The sequence below is a fragment of the Homo sapiens genome, chromosome 20 (genome assembly GCF_000001405.40).
Source record: "Homo sapiens chromosome 20, GRCh38.p14 Primary Assembly".
In the NCBI taxonomy this organism is placed as follows: domain Eukaryota; kingdom Metazoa; phylum Chordata; class Mammalia; order Primates; family Hominidae; genus Homo; species Homo sapiens.
The window spans coordinates 20552454-20573834 of record NC_000020.11 but is presented as its reverse complement, the minus strand read 5'-3'; the positions used below and the strand labels follow the sequence as shown (position 1 = coordinate 20573834).

Here is a 21381-nt window from a genome sequence, read left to right as displayed (position 1 = left end):
GAATGGATAAACTATGACACATCTGTAAAATAGAATATTAATCAGTAATAAGAAGAGACAACTGATACCCACAACTGTACAGATGAATCTCAAATGCATTTTGCTGAGTGAAAGAAACCAGACAGGCTACAAACTGTAGAATTTCATTCATGTGACATTCTGGAAAAGGCAAAACTATAGGAACAGAGAACAAAGCAGTAGTTGCAAGAGGCTGAGAATAGAGGAAGGGGACCAATTATGAAGGGGCACTTTTTGGAGTGATGAGATCCTCCATATTTCAATTATGGTGGCAGTTTATGGCAACAGTTGCATGAACGTATACATTCCTTAAAACTCCTTAAACCTGAAAGGGATGGAAATTTCTTGTATGCACATTTCACCCCCATGAACCTGACCTAACAACAACCACCGCAGATGTTACTCCAGCATTGAGGCTTCCCTGGCCACCCATTTCCATGGCACTGTTTCCCACCCATCCTGCTCAAGGGTCTCCCTCTTCCTCTCCCCTGATCTATAAAACCCATCACAGGGTCTCCAGGAACTGTTATGTCATGTCTTAGCTTGTTGCTCTTTTAGTTTGAAGAATCAAAATCATTTGACCTTTCTTCCTTGATCCTGCTTTTCTCTCCTTTTAAATTCTCAGCTGTTTCACATTTTTTGCCTTAATTATTTTACTTTGAATACCTAAGGTAATTTGCCTTAAAGAAAAAAGGTATGATGAAATCAAGATTGTTTACAGGGTTAACAGACATGTTTTTCTGCATAGATAGCAGCGAGTGCCTCACAGATGACTGTAGTATAATCGCCGGGGGGAGCCTCACTGGTTGGCACCCAGACTCTGCTGCTGTGTTATGGCGAAGGGTCTTGGGGATCCTCGGAGATGTGAATAACATCCAGTCACCCAAGATCCATGCCAGAGTTTTCTGCTATCTCTATGAACTCTGGTACAAACTAGCAAAGGTAAGTTCTGCTATGTTACTTTTTATTCTAATCCAGGAAAATGGTCTTATCATTTAATGTAAAAACTGTGTTTCAGTTAACTACTGAACATATTCCGAAACACAAATGGTACATTTAGACAAAGTCCATTTGATTATCAAAGAATAATCATATATAACATGACTATTTTATAAATGCAAAAGTTATTTCATTTAGTGCAAAAGTAGAATATTGCTATAGGATATTAAATACAGGATGTTAAGTCATTCTAGTTACTCTCTTTATAAAAGTGATATTGGTTGTATTGTATACAATTTGAAAAATGTAGAAAAATACAAAGAAGAAAATTAACATCAGTATTCATAGAAATAGCCAATATTAATATATAGTCTTCTTTCTTTTTATGAAAGTAGAATCTTAGAGTACATACAAGTTTTTTTTTTTTTTTTGAAATGGAGTCTTGCTTGCCCTGTCGCCCAGGCTGGAGTGCAGTGGCGCCATCTTGGCTCACTGCAACCCTCTGCCTCCTGGGTTCAAGCAATTCTCCTGCTTTAGCCTCCTGAGTAGTACATACAATTTTTATTCTGATTTTTGTTTGGGTTCTGACATTCACATGTATTAAATTTTTTTTTCAAAAACATGGTTCATGTTTGTTCAGTATAACTCATTAAAATGTTACTTATCGTTTGGAATTCAGGACCTCCCCAGCCATTAACGTTCAAGGAAAAACAATGCCTTTGTTTTGTATATAAATCTAAAACCACATACAGTAAGCCAAACATGTAATTCAAAAGGATAATTTCACAATAAAAGAGAAACTTGTAAATATTACAGGTTTTCACTTATAGAAATTAACTGAAAGCAGCTATATGGTCACAGAAGACTGTTGAAATACTGTTGGGATAAACGTAATGTTACCTACCCTAAAATTCTCCTCTTTGTGAATTAGATACGGGATAATCTAGCAATAAGCCTGGATAACCAGTCTTCTCCATCTCCTCCAGTTTTGATCCCACCACTCAGAATGTTTGCATCATGGCTGTTTAAGGCAAGTGGATATGTGTTTATTCCTTTATTGCGATTTCCTCTTCCTTTCTGAAATTGAGTTTGAAAAATGTAATTGCCCAAGACTGCATGTTTTGAAGACAGGCTGGGTCTTACTAAAGTAACTGCATCCCACATGTCCATAAACAACTCTTAAGGAAAACTGAGAAGTAAATGAAATGTTGAAATACTCTGCACCTGGGCTTGATTTAATCTGGAAACATCATCTCCTTGACAGGCGGCGACACTGCCAAATGAATATAAGGAAGGCAAACTACAAGCCTACAGGCTGATCTGTGCCATGATGACCAGACGCCAGGACGTTCTGCCAAACTCAGATTTCCTGGTGCATTTTTACCTTGTGATGCACCTGGGATTAACCAGCGAGGATCAGGTATTCTGCGACTCCTTTATTGTGATTGCCCATTAATTGGAAATAGCATATCACTCTTTAAAGACATTAGTAATATTTATGAAAATACATCAGAAGTGTTGAATTTCTCAGTAGTTTCAACTCTTTTACACACAGCAAGCACAATGGTCTTTCAAAAATGTAAATCAGGTTTCACATCCCTGCTTCTTCTCCCCACTGACTTTGCATTTGCATTGTGCCAACCAAATTTTAATTTTATTCTATGGCCTCTATGATCTAACCTCTGCCTGTGTTGTCAACCTCAAAATACTATTATAACCACTTTTTGTTTGGGTTCTGCATTAAATATGGTTTGAAGAAAGTGGTACTGATCATTTAAAAATGTTTGAAAATTGTTGTTTTAGTAGTTAGGATGTTTTTGTGAAAGACTTTACCTGTAAGATAGAAGATGAGTCCAGACATTTCTTGATAAGGAGTTATTTTAATTTCTCCCAATGCAATTTAAGTTTGGTTCAAGTTCGAACAGAAAGGCCCAAGGAGCCACTAGCTACCTCTTCCTCCTTGTAGGCCCTAGGTTTGGGAGATAGGGTGTGGCCAGACCCTGACCTTCCTCCCTTGGGAAGACTTCTGCCAGTTGAGGGAGATTACGGATAGGGACACATGGATTCTTGACTTGATTTGGGATATCAAGCAGGCAAGTGATGTGATTGATTTATGCTTCACAGAGATTCTGGACTGCATTTGGAAGATGGATTTGAAAATGTGATAGTAGGATAGAATCAGAGATTGGCCTGTAGATGGAGAACAATTAGGAAGTGTTTAATACAGATTTTAAAAAAATGATAAGAACTAAGCCGGTAGCATTGGGGATGGAAAGAAAGGAATAGAAAAGATTCAATAAATTTTAAGACATTTCATTTTATTACTAGGTTTTCTTAACCAATATAGAGGTATAGGGAGTGTTTGAGATTTACCCTTTAAATTGTAAATACTTATTAATGAACTTGAATCATTTATTAACTATCAAGTAACTGTCCTTTCTGCATTTTTTGTATTCGTTGAAGGTATGATGCAGACACACAGACCTTTTGATACCTCAGGGTACATGTAAGAAGTTATTCTCCTGATAAGCAAACTTTTTTTGTTGCTTTAGAATGTACTTGAATTTAAATAGTTTGCAGTATGTATTTCCCAATACTTACTTTGAGCTTTAAAAATCATTGAACTCTTATATGAAATAATAACCATACTGTCCTAGTGAGTAGTCTGTCATATTCATTGTGATTTTAGCAGTGTATAGAGGACATCCATGTAGCAGGCTGGCTTAGTCCCATAATCTCATTTATTTCCTAGATAAATGTAGAAATAGGAACACAAAGTAGAATTGTTTGTACTCCCTGCTCAAATATTTTACAGGCATCATTGCAAGTGGAAGCATCTTTTACAGAATGATGCAACTCAGGGTATGTGGAGGATTATGGGGTATAGAAAAGACAATTAACTCTCAGATAATAATGAACTCCTTCAGTGAAAGAAACAAAAGAGGAAGGTTTACTTAACAATACCCTACTTTAAAGAAGCCTTATGCTAATATTTTGCAGGAAAAAAAATTTACTTGGAAATAATAATCAACTATAGATCCTTCTCATTTTATAAAAACAAGTAAGTTAGCAGTAAACAATGTTCCTTAGAATGAATTTTTTAGAAAGTCACATAAATGAGTTTAGAATTGTCTTTCTATTTTAAGATGTGTTGATGTGGAAATGAAACAGTAAAATGAGATGAAATAAGAGTATATTATATAACATTTGAGAACCTGAAAAAAATTATTTTATAAATCATTTTCAAGAAATACAATTTTATAGTATAGACAAAAGAATTTCCAAATTTTGTGCTTAAAATTGTTTTTACATCTTAATGCATGTTATGTTTTTAATTAAGTTAAGGCTCAATATCTTTTATAGTTCATAGTGGAATACATAAATCTTAAAAGATGGTCCAATGCTAACAGTAATCCCAACATTCAGACTTCTAAGATGAAATGAGGATATCATAAATCTCTATTTAAAATCAGCCTATTATTTAGGCTTAGTTAGAAGCTTGAATTTTTATGTGAGTTTAATAGAGTTGACTGTTTTCTTTAACCTTAACAATTATTGTTATATATTTTAGAAGCGCTGACTGTCTGCCAAACAGAATTACTCTAAGTAAACTTTATTCCTTTGCCAGATGAAAATTACGCAGAAGACCTAATGAAAGAAACTTTTTTTCATTTAAGTTAAGAAATGTCTCTGGTAATTAGTTTAACTTTTGATCCACACGTCTAAATAGATCATAGTGGTTGTTTCAGAACTTATGTAATTCTGGAAACACATGTTATATTAATTATAAAAAGAAAAGAAAGCATTTATGGTAGAGAATACAGTTAAATTCAATTTTTTAATTAACAAACTATGTACCTGTGACTGGTACCATCTCAGGGCTTCTTTCTATTTTGTGAGAATTCTCAAAGGGCCACACTTTTATGTATCCTAGCAGCAAAAGGATTTATTTATGCAGAGAGAACCTTATGAAAGATGTCCTGTGTTTTTAAATAAATAATCATAAATAATTGTTTAAAATTGAACATTATCAGTTTTGTCTCACAAATAAAATCCAAGGTGGGTTTCTTCCTTTTGCCTCTGGGTGGCACACTTGTCTGCACGACGCAGCTTTGTGGTTCATGGGCCTTTGAACATTATGCTTTGTATGGCTTGGTTGTTTCATGAAGTTCTTTCTTAAATCTGAAGGTATCAAAATTATGTCAGTAGTGACCAATAAAGTGTTGAATTAAATAAGTTATAAGATGCTAAAAAGTATTTTCAAACATAATGATGTTCATAGTAATTGAAGACATTTTTTAGTTTAAAAAACAATTTGTAAAGTAGATGTCTCATGAGTTGTGTTCTCTGGCAATCCTGGAAAGTTATAGTTTCATCTAATATGATAGCAAATTTATTATGTAAACAGACATGACCATTTGTATCTTAAAAAATAATAATACATATACCAAACAGCCAGAAAAATGTAGTGCATTCCAAAGCAACTGTTTTTAGTATTTTTAACCAGTTTTGGTTATCCTAATAACTTATGTAATACTAACACAATGAATTTATCAAGTAGTATTTCCCCCGGTACATATGTAACATGGGTTCGTGGTTGATTGGTGTGATCGAAAACATGGTTTGAAATGGCTTTATTTTTTCCTTGACAATGAATTTTTTTTAAAAATTGATGTTAGTGGTTTACAAAATAATTAGGATTATAAACAGTTCCAAAATAACTATAAATTATGAAGAAAATTTGGCGTGACTTTCAGGGCTACCCGGCCTGCCTGTGAAGGAGTCTCCCAGTACGCTTCCCTCTGCTCAGCTGCTTTGTGTCTGAGGGTGGGCTGGTGATGGTGCTTAGGAGTATTTATTTCTTCAGCACTCACAGTGCTGGACTCTGTGCTGGGGACTGCATGATGTTGTACTATTGAATCTTCTCTGCAATTCAATTCAATAAATACCATGGCCTATTTTATTTTATTTTATTTTATTTTATTTTATTTTATTTTATTTTATTTTATTTTATTTTATTATTGCTTTTTTTTTTAGAGATGGGGTATCGCTCCATTGCCCAGGCTGGAGCGCAGTGACACAATCATAGCTCACTGGGCTCAAGCAGTCCTCCCGTCTTGGCCTCCCAAAATGCTGGGATTACAGGTGTGAGCCATAGTACCCAGGCCCCTGAGGCCCATTTTATAAATAATGAAACTTCAAAAAAATATCTAAAACTTTTGCCCAGTGCCACAGGCTAAAAAGCCTGTTAGAATTCACATACAGGCTTGGCTTATTCCACCAGGTATGTTTTCTTTTATTGATTCACAGCAAGCGTATTGGTCCAACAGCCTTGATGTTGTTTCTCCCTTCCGTTTTATTTTGCCTGGGCTCTGCCCTTGGTCCTACTCCACTTCAGAATCCTCCTTATTAAACTACCCTGCCCCAACCTGGAAAGACCTTTCCACAGTTGCCTTCTCAGTTCTTCATCATCCTTCAGTTTCTCTTCTAAAGCTGTTTCTTGTTGTTCTCAGTTTTTCCTAACACTTAAGCAGCTTTTTCACATCAGAATTCCCCAAAATAGTTTGACATGAAAGAACCTATGATTTGGATTTATTAAAAACAGTTTTTATTAATTTCATGATTATTTAAAACAGATGGAAAGATCAATATGTGTGAAATGGAAAAGGACAGTTGAGGAAAGGAATTTTATTTTCATGTTTGTAAGAACATGTATCAGAGACTGGAAGGTTTTCTTTGCTTAAAATAAGTGAGCTATTTTTTAACAATGACTTACAGATTTAATGTCTTAATGTAATTTGTCTGTTATACATCAAAGTTAAATTCTCTTTTAAATGCAAAGCCTACATTAATGTAAAATTATTGTTGCAAATATGCATATAGACATTTTGGGAAATGTGGGTCTTTGTCATTTTCATCTATAATATTGTGTTTTATAATGCACCAAAAAAGCATGAGGCCTCTCTCCAATGCAGAAGTGTTTGTTGTTCTGCCCTGAAGTAACATATTTGGATCATAACAGCATAAAGTTAAGATCTAGTGTAATAGAGTGTGATAAAGTGTATTGGTTAAGAGCATGGACCTCAAGTCAGCTTGTCTGATTTCCTGTCTTGGCTTTGTTACTTATTAGCCAAATCATTTGGGTTTGCTGTGCTCTGGCTCCCTTATCTATCGAATGAGGATAATAATAGTGCCTACCTCAGAGGGTTGTTTGAAGACTTGAAAGAGGTAAAAACATGTAATGCATTCAGTCTGGATCATGGATATGATCCCTTAGTAAGCATGAGCTCTTGTAATAATATTAAGGGTAAGGAGAAGAACAGCAACACCATCATTTATTTCTGATATCTTAAAGTGTTGATTTTTTTTCTTTCTCCATATACATTTTCTTACTTTGAACATAATGATTTGACTAAAAAACATAACTAGGCATTGTGGAATTTTACAACGTGTGGAGAAATAACCACTCCCTGTGCTGTAGACAGACATACCGATTGATACATTTGTTTTACCCATGTATGCTTATGATCCAGAAATGCTTCTTTTGTGTCCATGGCTATCGGCTCACTTTCCCTCACTTTTCACCCCACCCAATGAGCCTCTGTACAAGGAAAGCTAGAAAGCTGAACACTGCATGTCCCAGACTCCTTGCAGCTGGGTTGGCATTGACCCAGGTTCTGTCCAGCAGAGACACCAGCCAACATGGCACTTGAAGGTAGATGTGGGGAGTGGTGGGCAGCAGCACAGGGGGATCTGGGTCCTCCTGTCATGGAGGTTCTGCTCCGGCACCACCATCACTGTTGAGATGAGCAGACAGTGGGCTCTGCTGGAACAGCCTTGTGATGTGGCTGGGTGTTCCTGCTTACCAGCTTTTTCCTGGCTGTGGAGATTTGTGATTGGTTCCCTGGCACTTCTAGACATTCTCCAGACCATCTAACACCCTCATAGAAGTCTCTTTCTTCTTAATCTCAAAACAGTGGATTCTCTTGCCTGCAAGTAAGACCCTGGCTCAGCCAGTAACTGCTCTGCAAAGTGCTGTGCTGGTCACTGGCAATACATGATCAACACTGGTTCATATTTCAGTTGCTGAATGCACTTGAGCATTAATTTAATTTTTGTATTTTTAAAATTTTAGCCACTTATTTTGTAGGCAATAATATTTAGCTTGTAGGAACATTTTGCTTTCATTTAACTCCACATTTTTATGAACGTTTTGTCACATCAATGTTAAAAAAAACCATAATTTTAAACATCATATATAGAGCAGTATTCTATCACAGAAGTCAAAGTAGTTCATGATTTTCTTAACGGGTGTTACAACCCCCTCTCATGAGGTATATGATGGAATAATATAATAATAAACAGTCGTTTGTAAAAAGATCCCATGAGGCCCCTCAGTGAGCATTAAGACTCAGCAGTGAGCTTTGAAAGCAAGGTGCAGGGGTGATACTTGTAAATTGGCCATACCTGACTCTTTTAATAACCCCAGACAGCCTGTATCATGCAGTCATATGTAATAATTGCATCACCTTTTCTCAGACAAAGAATTGTTCTTTGCTGAAAATTTAGACTTGTTACTATGGAACCATATATGTTAGATAAACATAAATTTCAAAGTATATTTAAGGTGAAACATAAGTGAGTATTCAGTTCCAGGAAAGGTAAAGAATTAGGATGGCAAATTGGAGGCCTTGTTTATCTCAAATCCCTGGAAATAATTTTAATACATGTCTCTAAAGTGCTCATTCTGTACAGCAAGTGATTTTACCAAGGTTTTAATTTATAGGATTTTAACTCAACACTAGCAGATAAAGTACTTATTTGTGAATTTAAAGATCTAACTGATGTTCCGAGGATGAAATAATAACTTTGATGTGTATCAGTAGAGGAACTTTAGACCTTTAGAAGGCTAACTTTGTTAAAGCTTCATTTAAAAACAGTTTAAAAAAAACTATAGGTTTATACAACAAGTAAAAATAGGACTAATGTGGGGCCTTATTCCTAAGGTTTCTAAGAATTGGAAAATGTACTTCCAAGAATTCAGGATATAAGATGGCTTCAGAATATATTGACTTTCAAGAATAACATATGACTCTCATGGATGGCAGGCCTGATACTGGGAACTAAAATACCTTAGAGCTAGACTCAGCTTTGTCACTCACTGGCCATGGGGCCCTCACCTATCCACAAGTAGTCAAGTGAATGAATTGGGCTAGAGAGCCTCTCAGACCCTTTCCCATTAAGCATTCTTAGATCCTCTGATTTATTTTTAGGCACTTTATTATTAGGGTCACATCACTCCTTCCTAAATGTGGCACAAAGTTCAATGATCTTTTTATGTTGAATATTTTTTCCTGCCATGGTAAAGACCTAGTCAGGTTATGAGAGTGTGAGATGCATAAACAAGTATCTGTACTAACCATCAACTTGTGCAGAAGACCAAATAAGTAGTGATATACATGTTATGAAAATTGAACTGTTGAATATCCTTTTAGCTAAGTTGATTTGAAAGCAGCTCACAAAGGAGAGGGGATTTAGCAGGACTTTCAAGAATGGATAGGATTTAAATAGCAGGACAAGAAGCATGATGGAGTTTCACATCAAAGATACAGAACTTTTCAGGCTGTGTTCAGGAACAATGACTAGAGTGGCTTTGATTTAATGCCAGATATATGCGTAGAAATAATATATGGTCATGAATCCAGGCAGCACTGTAGAGAGCCTTGATTCAAAGTAGTTTTCATCCCATGGACAGTGGGGAGCTGTTGAAGGTTTTTGAGCATGATACTCCACATGACCACAAGAGCATTTTAAGAAGCTTAAACCACAGTGATAAAGTGGGGGTGAATTATAATCATGAAAGAATGATGACAACAAACACAGAAAGGAAATTATTATAATAGCCCAGGGGCAAGGTAATGAGGGCTAACAAGGACTGAGGCACAGATGGGGTTTGTGTGTGTGTGTGTCTATGTGTATAATTCATTATATGTGTATATATTTTGTATATATATGCACATATGTGTTTTGTGCATGTGTGTGTGTGTGTGTTTGTCTGTGTGTGAGAAATATGTTGGAGAGGTAGGATGTAGTACTGATTGGTAAGCATCCTGAGAAAGTAGTGTCCTGGCACGATTCCCATTATCTGTCAAGGCAAATGTTGGTTCAGAAAGGCAAGAAGATGAATTGAGAAAAGGAAGACATGTGGGCATGATAGGATAAAGGGACTGTAAGTTTCGACTCATGTCTTGATGACCCTTCCTCACCTTGGACATTATAGCATAGGACAGGCCAAATGGGTGCATCCGAGGATACACCAAGGGGTGTCCCCAAAGAATTCTTGCCTGTTAGGAATTAGAAATGTGCAGGAAAGATTTCCAGGGACATTTTCTCTGTACTTAAGAGAACATATTTTCTAATTCTGTTGGAATTCAAGCAGTTGGTATGCAAATTGTAAATGTATTTATAATTATTAAAATGGGACATCTAAAGGGCTCTGTAATTGATGTTTTTGTTAGCCAAGACATATATTTGTTACTAATTATTTCTGAAAGTAATGTAGCACTTAAAAACAAGTCCTTTTATTTTTCTAAAAATACAACTTCTGACCTGAATTTACTTTACTCAAGTTAATGAAATATTATTGAATATAAGGGGAGTTTACTGTAGCAATAAACAAAACTTCCAAGTTTGACTTAGGTTTGATTGAAGGATAATATTTATAAGGACAGGTGAGAGATGACAGTCCTCTCCTGACATGTATTGTTAAGTTAATCATAATTCCTGTTTGTGCTTATTGTACAAATTCAGAGTGATAAAATACAGAAGCTGTCATATAATTAACGTTACACCATCAGGTAGCATCCACTGCCTTCCGAGTGTTTTCCACAAGGTTTTGTGGGAATGGACAAGCCACAGATTCATCAAAATTTATCAATGAAAGTTTTATTATAACTTTATTCAGCTATCAATCGCCATAAAGACTTCAGATAGATGACTGCACCAAAAATAAATGCGAGATATTTTTTCTTTTTTTTATAGCTGTAGAATCAATAATTATTTTCATTAATCTGTAGACAGAGCCCACTTGTACCTCAATGAGGAAAGTAAAAATATGTAGGAGGTAACAGATGGCAGAGGTTTCGGTTATGAGGTTTAACACATGTGCAGTGAACTTGTTTCACAGCTTTAAAAAGTGTAAGATGATAGCATGGAGGCTGATCCAGAGAGAAGAAAATCTACCTGACAGGCCAGAAACTACAGTTTTGTTTGGTTTCCTTTGTTGGATTTAAAGGTGTAAAGACTTTCTTTCAAGTAAATGTTATCAGACATGAATATGAATTATGTATATTTAGCCCAAAATCTTCCGGTATCTAATAAGACATGCTACGTGAAATAAAGCATAAAAATAGTATAGCAACTCTCAGTATATGTGGGAAAAGGAAAGATTTTGTTCTTAGTAAACTGTTACCGTGTGATATCGTGTATCAGTTGGCATACATTTTTCAGTTGAGAACATGTTCTTTTGCTCTGAGGTTTCTCTCTGGAAGGAGACTCTACTGTGGCCTGTCACAGAGCCCAGATCACCGGAATCTTTTTTAATAGAGTCACTGGAGTGCATTCTGTCTTTTCCCAGAGAGGGTAGATGCTCAGTAGATATATTGATTGATAGAAAATGGAAGAAAAAAAAAAAGACCTTCTTCTGAGACTGGCTATTCCAAATCTACACAGCATCATGGGGAAGAATGGGTAACCAAAGCAGCTGAGCTGAGCCACTTTGGTTGCAATTTTGGCTCCAACTATCAGTTTCAAGGCAGGCATTAACTTTCTACTGTGGTGAGCTAGTCAACTTTCATTACCCTAGAACAGTGATTCTTGAGGGGCAGGGGAATTTTGCCCCCTCCAGGGAACATTTGGCAATGTCTGGACACACTTTTGGTTGTCATAAAGTGCACTGTCATTTGGTGGGTGAAAGCCAGGGATGTTGTTAAATATCCTGTAGTGCACAGAAACACAACAAAGAATTTATGACCAAAAATGTCAGTACTGCTGAGGTTGAGAAACCTTGCCCTAAAGGAGTACTTCTGCAGATGACATTGTCCTAAGAAAAGAGCTAGGTAATATAAATTAAATGACACAACTCAGTAATCAAAGACAGTATGAAAGTCTCACTCTGTTAGCTTAACCAAGGGAATAAATGCATACAAAAATTTAACCAGGGAGATTAAGAGAGTCAATGTTTCAGGTTGAGTTAAATGAGTTTTCAAAAAGGGGGTACAATTTCATAATGGTTCAGCTTACTAAATTCTCTGTCTAAAAAAATCAGTTTAAGAAATAAAACATGGAACGTTCTGATTAATTCTGAAGTTAACATGAAAATTATCTGAGATGAATTTTGTCTGGAAGCCCAAAGTAGAAAGTTGTGTGGCCTGCATCTGCAAAGCCCAAGGCACTGTATGTATGAAAGGAGGCAGGAAGGGGGCTCAGGTTCCACTTCTTGCATGAGCACTGCCTGAGTAGCTAAGAGGAAGCAGGATGGCTGAGAGAACAGCTTGCATGGAAAAGGGCTGGTGCATGGAGACAGATAATTGCCTTTTTCAAATGTCTGAAGCAGTGCTGTGTGAGAGAGACTGTTTTACCCAGAGCCAGGACTAATAGGTAGATTCTAGCTCATCATCAGGAGACACTAAATCCAGTTTTCTGTTCAAATATGGCAGGTGATAGGTTCTGTGTTTGTAAGCCTTTCAAGCTCTAAAGTATTCAGTCCAAGGCTGTCTGACGCTCTAGGACAGCCTCAGAAAAAGGGAACATTCACTTTAGAGCTTGAGCCCTACCTAGCCTTGCACTCAAGTCACTGCATCCATGAATTGGTGAACAGATACATAGCCTGTTTGGCTTGTGCTGCTTATTCCATGAAACGGGTTTCTGATGACTCTGGGACTTTGGGAAGGGAAAGATAGTTAGGCCTTCAGTAGGCAATGGTACATTTCATTGCAGAAGGGATTTTCCTGCTCTTTGGAATATAGCTATTGACCTGTAAGACCATCTTTTCTCATTTAGAGTTCTATGAAGACTTTAAGAAATGTTACATTTTTCTCCAGGCACAGAGGCACTGAGAGACACAGGAATAGCTTCTAGAGACATTTCAGGTACTAAAGTTATACTTGGGGAAGGAGGATACATTAACTCCCATTTGGAGAGGAATGATTTTTGAATATAAGAGATTTAAATCATGACTGTGGTTTATAATTCATAAAGAGTAGACTTGGATAGAAGGATATAATGTCAAGAAAAGCATTTTAAATTGCAATTTTTGTTTCCGTGAGAAAAGTGCTCTCCTTGTGGGGAATAATCTCTTTTTGTCTGTTGATTTCTTTTTAATACATAACAATAAGTGGTATTGTGGTAATTGCAGATTGTTCAGCTATTAATGCTATTTACTGAAACACATTTTAGAGAGAACATTGTTTTCTGAAGAAGCAATAAACAACAGTTTTTCTTTTGTTCTCCCATGGAAAAAATATCCTTTGGTAGGTAATTGTGGGCTAAAGAAATGTTAGCAAAAGAGAAGCTTTTAATAATAAGACATTAAAACAAAATACCTACCATTTTCCTGTGTGCTGGAGTCTAGTTGAACACGTGCAGCATGGTCCCTTCATCAAGACCCAGTGCCTTGTGCCACCTATTTGCTTCCCTTCCTTGGTTCCCATGGCATGCCTGCTGTCCCCATCATGCAAGAGCCCTGTGCTCTTGGTGGCCTCACTCTTAGCTATGAGTAGCTTTCCCTTCCCCTAACAGGTCATTGCTGGAAGGCAGGGGCTGCCTTAGAACCTCACAGCAACTAACATGGTACCTTCAACCCAGTTAGCACTTGAGAATTTCAAATGATCCTGGAAAATTAATATTTTAATAAGATCATGAATAACTGTTGCTGTTATTTAATAAAAATAATAATTATGAACTTTGGAATTTACAAAATGCTTTCAGTTACAATCTCCTTTGCCCTTTTGAAGAGTACAACAGGGCATGATGCATTTTCATTCCCATTTTACAGATGACGAAATTGTTGTTCGAAAGGTAAAGTATCTGCCCAAGTTCAGCTATCAAATTAGTTGTATCTTTTACTGGAATTTTATCTTTAAAGCCCTCCTCCTCCTATTTCCTCATTAGCTCAAAAATCTACACTTAAAGCATCTCATTAAAAAAAAAGTTGTTTTTAGGCCCCTAAAATGAGTTTTGTTATATGTACATTAAAAATCAAAATGTAAAATAAGTATTCCTAGAATTTGAAGCAGCAAGCTATTTGTCCACCATTTAGAGGTCGATTGACCTCTTTGCTTTCTGCCATGGTGAGATTTGTATGTGGTGGGCTTTTCATCATACGATGGGCAGGACAGGTGTAGTGTCGGGTTTGTTGGTATTGCTGCTTTGCTAGTGGATCTGGCCTGAGGTTTCTCCATAAGCAGGTTGATAGAGCTGGCTTCCGTTGGGATTGTTCTCTCAAATTTCAGCCATTCTTGAGAGCTCTTTGTCTAAACACGAATTGTCTAAATGGGAGGGGTGGGAGATTGTCATTCTAATTCATCCAGGCCTCCACCCACATTAGAGGGTTGGTCGGTAGAGTCCCAAAATTGAATGACCACAGGGTTGCCCTCTGTTTTTTTGCAGAACACAAAAATGTTGAGAGCTTCAGTTTTGCTGCTTTGTGCAGGTGGAGTAATTTTACTTGTAAGAAAATAAACTAAGAGAGCATGCATTTTGTGTTTTCTTAGAATGAAAAGAATGGATAATAATCATATTCTAAAATTAATCTCTTTACTGATAAGGGAACAAACCAGAAGTTGTGGGAAGTAACGAACAGAAATCATTTTTTGTTGTTAATCTGTTCTTGGGCATAGGCTGGGAAACATCCTGGCAAAAGTCAGTACCATGAAGCAGACTCATTTTCACCCAAACCTGAGAGCCAGGCTTCCCGATTTCACCATATGAGAAGGAAGCATGTTTAAATGCATGGGGCACGCTAGTCTGTGATGGCATTAGAAGCCCTGAGCTTTTTTTTTTTTTTTTTTTAGCAGAGTTGAGATCACAGATAAATGAGCACAGAAGCCACGAAGAGCTGGTATATGTTCTCTAGTGTTCATTCTCAGGGAAGAATAGGAATCTTAATTTGTTGCTGGAATCCTGGTAAATTTCTTTTTTTTCCCCCTTAAGATCTTTCTAATGCATTTCCCCTCACCGCCCCCAGCCTCCTCACACAATTCCACACTCCCTTACACCCCATGCCCAGTAATTTCCGAAGAAGATGGCTTTGGTGGAAGACCTGTCTTTATTTTGAAGATAGCATTTATGAGCCAGTTCCTTCATCTGATAATACTTCTATGAGAGTAGGAGTTAACGTGTTTATCTTTGGAAGCATATTTTTAAGCTGAAGCAATCATCTGTTGACTTCACTTGAAAGTATAGTTTTAAAAGGTGTTATTTGCATTTTTAAATGATTATTAGGTAAAGTGAGTGAGATGAAAGAAAAATTCATGTTTCAAAACTAAGTAAGTCCTCAAAATAGTGCTGTGCAGGCTGGGCGCGGTGCCTTTTCCCTGTAATCCCAGCACTTTGGGAGGCTGAGGCGGGTGGATCACCTGAGGTCAGAAGTTCAAGACCAGCCTGGCCAACATGGCGAAGCCCCATCTCTACTGAAAATACAGAAAATTAGCCGGGCGTAGTGGCGGATGCCTGTAATCCCAGCTACTTGGGAGGCTGAGGCAAGAGAATTGCTTGAACCTAGGAGGTGGAGGTTGCAGTGAGCCGAGATTGCGCCACTGCACTCCAGCCTGGGCAACAAGAATGAAACTTAGTCTCAAAAAAAAATAAAAAAATTGAAAAAATAGTACTGTGCACTATATATGAGGCCCATTATTCACGAATATTAAATGGTGCTTCATTGACCCTGAATTAACATTTTCCCTTCCTGTAAGGAACAGGACGATGCTTGGGTTTGTTTTTAAACCTTGCTGGTAACTGCAGTTCTGGCCTTGATTGATGCCGTTCTCCGTGTCTGTTAAATTAAAAGATTGAATGATGATCTCTCGGATCTCTTTTCTAAGTTTTTATGGTTCCAAAGGAGTAAGTTAAATACCTTTGTTACCCAAATTCAGTAGTGTTGTGTTTTCCGTACTTATTTTTTCTACTTCATTCTGGGGTAACATAGGGTGCAGGTGGGGCCTAACCTAGATTCCAACATTAGAATGAGAATATTATTTTACTTGGCATCATTGGCAGTGTCGATTAAATCTTTACTATGCCCTTGCAGCCATGACCTTAAGCAACACCTGACTGTGTTAAGTCTGTGGTTTCACTCAAGTGTTTCTTTTTAATATTCTAAGAAGAATATATTTCTAGTAGATGCATTCTTGAGACAGTGTGAATAATAAACCTGGGAAAAGTATAGTTTTCTGACTCTGCAGTACCTATGTTTGTGTGTGCACATTTGACTCATTTTGGCAATTCTTACCTTAATATTTACTTACATGATTACACACAGTACGTGCATTTTACTTACCCCTTTTTTTTTTAAGACGGAGTATCACTCTGTCGCCCAGGCTGGAGTGCAGTGGCACGATCTTGGCTCACTGCAACCTCCGCCTCCTGGGTTCAAGCAATTCCCTGCCTCAGCCTACTGAGTAGCTGGGATTACAGGTGCCCACCACCACGCCCGGCTAATTTTTGTATTTTTAGTAGAGATGGGGTTTCACCATCTTGGCCAGGCTGGTCTTGAACTCCTGACCTCAGGTGATCCACCCACCTCGGCCTCCCAAAGTGCTGGGATTACAGGCATAAGCCATCACGCTCGGCCGCCCATCCTTTTATCTATGATGGCAGTGACCCTGTTTTTGCTTCTGCTAGAGAACATTGTAAAGCTGTAGAGGAGGGGGTGGAGGAGACAAACAGAGACACTTGGCTCAGTTTAGCCTCTTCTAAGACAAGCAGTTGGGCACCTCAGAAAAATATTTTAGTATCCTCCTACCCCAGCCCTCCCTCATCCCCAGCCCCCAGTAACTTTCTTGTTGCTGTATAAATGCCTTTCTGTTTAGACTTATCCCTGAGCTTTGGCAATGAGGCCTGATTTTCTTTTGGAGTTCTGTACCAGCGTCTAGCACTCAGAGCACCTTACACATGTGTCTGATGCAACTGAGTGGCTTCCACTGTTATCACTTACTGGCAACAACTTGTTGAAGCCCTCATTTGCTAAAGTCTCATTGTGAGGATTTAATAACTGCTCTTGAGCATCTGCATCAACCTCATTAAGCCAACCTGTTGTACAAACTGTAATGGTGTAGATTTGAAGCTTATCGGTGTCATGACTAAGACAGTCATTACGTAGTCAGGCCACGGCATCTTCAAGGCACTATTGGTGCAGCTGGTAAGTCACTTCTCTCCATGACCCTACAAATAGTTTTCCTCATCTTATGGAATTATAAATGTGCCAGAATTTCCTAATAGGTTTGCCATCTCCCTGTCAGTCTCCTCAGTGAGCTGTGAAGTGCCCATTATAGGAAGCACACGTGAAAGACAGCAGCCCCTCTTGATCTGTGGGCTTCAGGCAGGGTGTTGTGTTGGTCAGAGAAAAGGGGCTTTATGTTTTGTTCACATAGCAAAGGACTTGGGGCTGAGGGAGCGAGCTGATTCATCTGATGGAGAATCATTTCTTTCTTAGAGGCCCTGATCTCACAGCACCCTGAGCATCCTTGCAGAAAGCACTCATTTGCTGCTGCAAAAATATATTGCAAAAAGGTTGCCCAGGGCTTGTTTGCCACCAAACAAGTTCTGGCTCTGGCTTTCTTCCCACCAAAGAAATAACAGGCATTTCCATTTTAAACTCTGATGTTCTCCCTAAGATCAGGGACAAGACAAGGATGTCTTTTCTCACCACTTTTCAACAGTGTACCAGAGATTCTAGACAGTGAACTTAGGTAAGAAAATGAAATAAAAGCCATTCAGACTGGAAAGAAAAATGAAAGATATGTATATTGACAAATATATGATCTTGTATTTGGAAAACCTCAAGAAATACACACACACTTAAAAAAGAAACCTACTAGAACTAATAAATTATGTAAGATTGCAGGATACAAGATCAATATGTAAAAATCAACTGTATTTTTATACAACAGAAATGGACAATTTAAAATGAAATTAAGAAAGCAATTCTATTTACAATAGCATCAAAAAGAATCAAATACTTAGGAATAAATTTAACCCAAGACTTGCACTGAAAACTGCAAACCTTGCTGTAGGACTTTAAAAACTACCTAAATAAATGGAAAAATATCCGTGGATCAGAAGACTTAATATTATTAAGATAGCAGTACTCCCCAAACTGACATGTAGATTCCATACAATCCCTATCAAAATTTCAATGGTGGTTTTTGCAGAAATGGAAAAGCTGATCCTAAATTTCACATGGAATTGGAGGGAATCTTGAATAACCAAAGCCATCTAGAAAAGGAACAAAATTAGAGAATTACTAGTTTCCTATTTCAAAAGTTCCTAAAAAGCTAGAGTAATCCAAACAGTGTGGTCCTGGTGAAAGGTTAAACATATAGATCAATGGAATAGAATTAAGAGTCTAGAAGTAAACTCGTAAGCCCATAGTCAGCTGATGTTTTGACAAGGGTGCAAAGACAATTCAGTCGGAAAAGAATAGTCAATTCAACAGGTGATGCTGGGACAACTGGATACTCTCATGCAAATGGATGAAGTTGGACCCCTACCTCACACCATATACACAAATTAACTCAAAATGGTTCTGTGTCCTAAATATGAGAGCTAAAATGGTAAAACTCTTAGAAAGGAAAGGACTAAGTCTCCATGACCTTGAATTTGCCAATAAACTTTTAGATATGAAACCAAATATGCAAGCAACAGAAGAAAAATGGATAAATTATCATTCATCAAAATTAAAATCTTTTGTGCTTCAAAAGATGCTATCAAGCAAGTGAAAATACAACTCACAAAATATTTGAAATTATATATCTGATTAGGGCCTAGTATCTAGAATATATAAAGAAGTCTTACACAGCCAGGCACGGTGGCTCATGCCTGTTATCCCAACACGTTTGGAGGCTGATACAGGTGGATTGCTTGAGGCCAGGGATTTGAGACCTGCCTGGACAACATGGTGAAACCCCACCTCTACCAAAAATATGAAAATTAGCCAGCCTTATAACCTAGTCTCAAAAATAAACAAAGAAATGAAAATTTAAAAAATTAAAGAAGTCTTATAACTTAGCAACAAAAAGACAGCCCAAATAAAAAATGGGTGAAAGACATAGACTTAAACTTCTCCAGAGAAGATATAAAAATGGCCAAGAAGAACATGAAAAGATACTCAGCATCATTATTCACCAGAGAAATTCATATCAAAACCAGTCACCAAAAGGTAGAAACAGCTTAAATGCCCATCAACTGATGAAAAGACGAACAAAACATCATGTATCAATACAATGGAATATTAATTTGAAGGAATTAAGTATTATTAACTAAGAAGGAATAAAGTATTATGTGCCACAACGTGGATGAACCTTGAAAACATGTTAAGTAAAAGAAACCATACACAAAATGCCATATATATAGTAAGATTCCATATGCTGAAATATCCAGGGTAGGCAGATTCATGGAGACAGAAAGTAGACTAGTAGTTGCCAGTTACTGGGTATATGAGAAATGGGAAATAGTTGCTTCATTTTGGTATAGGCTTCATTTTGAGGTAATGAAAATGCTCCCAAATTAAATAGTGGCTACGGTTGCACAATTCTGTGAATACACTAAAAACTACTGAATTGTACACTTTATAGGGTGAATTTCATTATATATGAATATATATCTTGAAGCTGTTACCAAGAGAAGGAGGCAGTTTAGACAGATTAGTGAGTTATCAACTTCATTATAAAATAAAATTCATGTACATTGTTCCTTAAATAAGTAAATCTATATACCACATTTTCTGAAGCAGAACAGTCCATCTTCATCTGTTTAAAGGCCAGCCAAGTTTTTCTTTGTAGATAAGCAGTTATAAAAAATATTCAAGGTTCTCCTTTTGGGCTTGAGCATCACAGTGCCTTTTTCTGCCATCTGTCCACTTGTTCTGTCACTCCTGAAATCTTGATGCTGTGCAAATGCTCAGAACAGCTCCTGTGGCCTCAGGAGTTTGTTGCATGTTTCCCATTCCCTAAAGCATGCTGCTGTCAAGGACATTCAGTGTCTTCTTCATGGCAGTTCTGCTGGTGAGAAGTTCTAGGTATTGTGTTTTGTTTTGTTTTGTTTTTTTTTAAGATAGATTCGCTCTCTGTTGCCTGGGCTGGAATGCAGTCTTACAATTACAGCTCATTGCAGCCTTGATGTCCCAGGCTCAAGCGATCCTCCCATCTCATCTTCCCAAGTAGCCAGGACCACAGGAGTGTACCACCACACCTGGCTAATTTTTTTATTTTTTGTAGAGGCAGCGTCTTGATATGTCACCCAGGCTGGTTTTGAACTCCTGGGCTCAAGTGATCCTCCCGCCTTGGCTTCCTAAAGTGCTAGAATTATAGGTATGAGCCACCATGCCCTGCCACTAGGCAATTTTGATTCTCCAGGTGCAGAACCCAATTACTCTGTCCTGTAATATTTCTCCTGGCTTTCATAACATAGTTGTACTCTAAGAAGTCACATTGTGTACAACACTTGTTAAAATCTCTGCTTTTTTCCCAGACAGATGTACCAAGTTAACCATTTTAACACATAATGTAAAGCACATACCACATATTTGGCCCCAGTCATGAAAGTAATTTTCAGCTTTGTCCTGCTGTCTTATTCTCAGTGACTTTTCTGGAAATGAAGTATTGGCGCCGTGCTCTGCTGTGTTTTTTGTTTTGTTTTGTTTTGTTTTGTTTTGTTTTTAAAGGGCCGTGTTGATTTGATTTATTTTTTAATCATCAGAAGCCAGGTAGCAGCTTGTAGTATGTAAAGTATGTCCTTGTGCCCTAAGCTGAAGGAGCAGAGACCCACTAGCAGAAATGAGAGAATCAGGCCTTGGAGCTTTGAGGTCTCTTCAAATCTGGTCTTCTGGTAACTAAAAATTTCTCGTCACTCAGCATTTCTGAACTTCAGCAGGTGGGCAATAACTAATACTTAAAAATATGTCCACAAGTACTGCAGGATCGTGGCTGTCTTCTCCATTGTTAAAGTTTAAATTATATTCATATATAGTATGAATGTATTCCTCTGCATTCACATTTTTTATAATTAATTATCCAAGTATAGAATGAATCATATCTTTTTGTTAGCCAGATTACTGGGATAAACAGATCCCAACCTTCCCCTCTTTACCAAATAAAAGAGCTTCCTATAGAATTTCCTAGGTAAAAGACAGGCATCTTCTCTAAAAAA

General features: G+C 37.4%; 1 protein-coding gene across 22 annotated transcripts in view; it reads left to right on the top strand.

Annotated features, from left to right (window-relative positions):
* The window catches only part of RALGAPA2 (Ral GTPase activating protein catalytic subunit alpha 2), a 323115-nt gene that overhangs the window by 138810 nt on the left and 162924 nt on the right, over nt 1–21381 (top strand). For 21 of the 22 annotated variants that reach the window (XR_007067471.1, XR_937111.3, XR_007067470.1 and 18 more), the window contains 3 exons: nt 767–960; nt 1889–1987; nt 2222–2377. Coding sequence is in view for 14 of the 22 variants with exons in the window: in XM_011529310.3 (XP_011527612.1) it covers nt 767–960; nt 1889–1987; nt 2222–2377 (449 nt within the window). In the remaining 8 variants the exon portion in view is untranslated. Of the gene's footprint in view, nt 1–766; nt 961–1888; nt 1988–2221; nt 2378–21381 lie in introns of those variants that run through there. The other variant, XM_017027977.2, reaches the window with a different exon arrangement.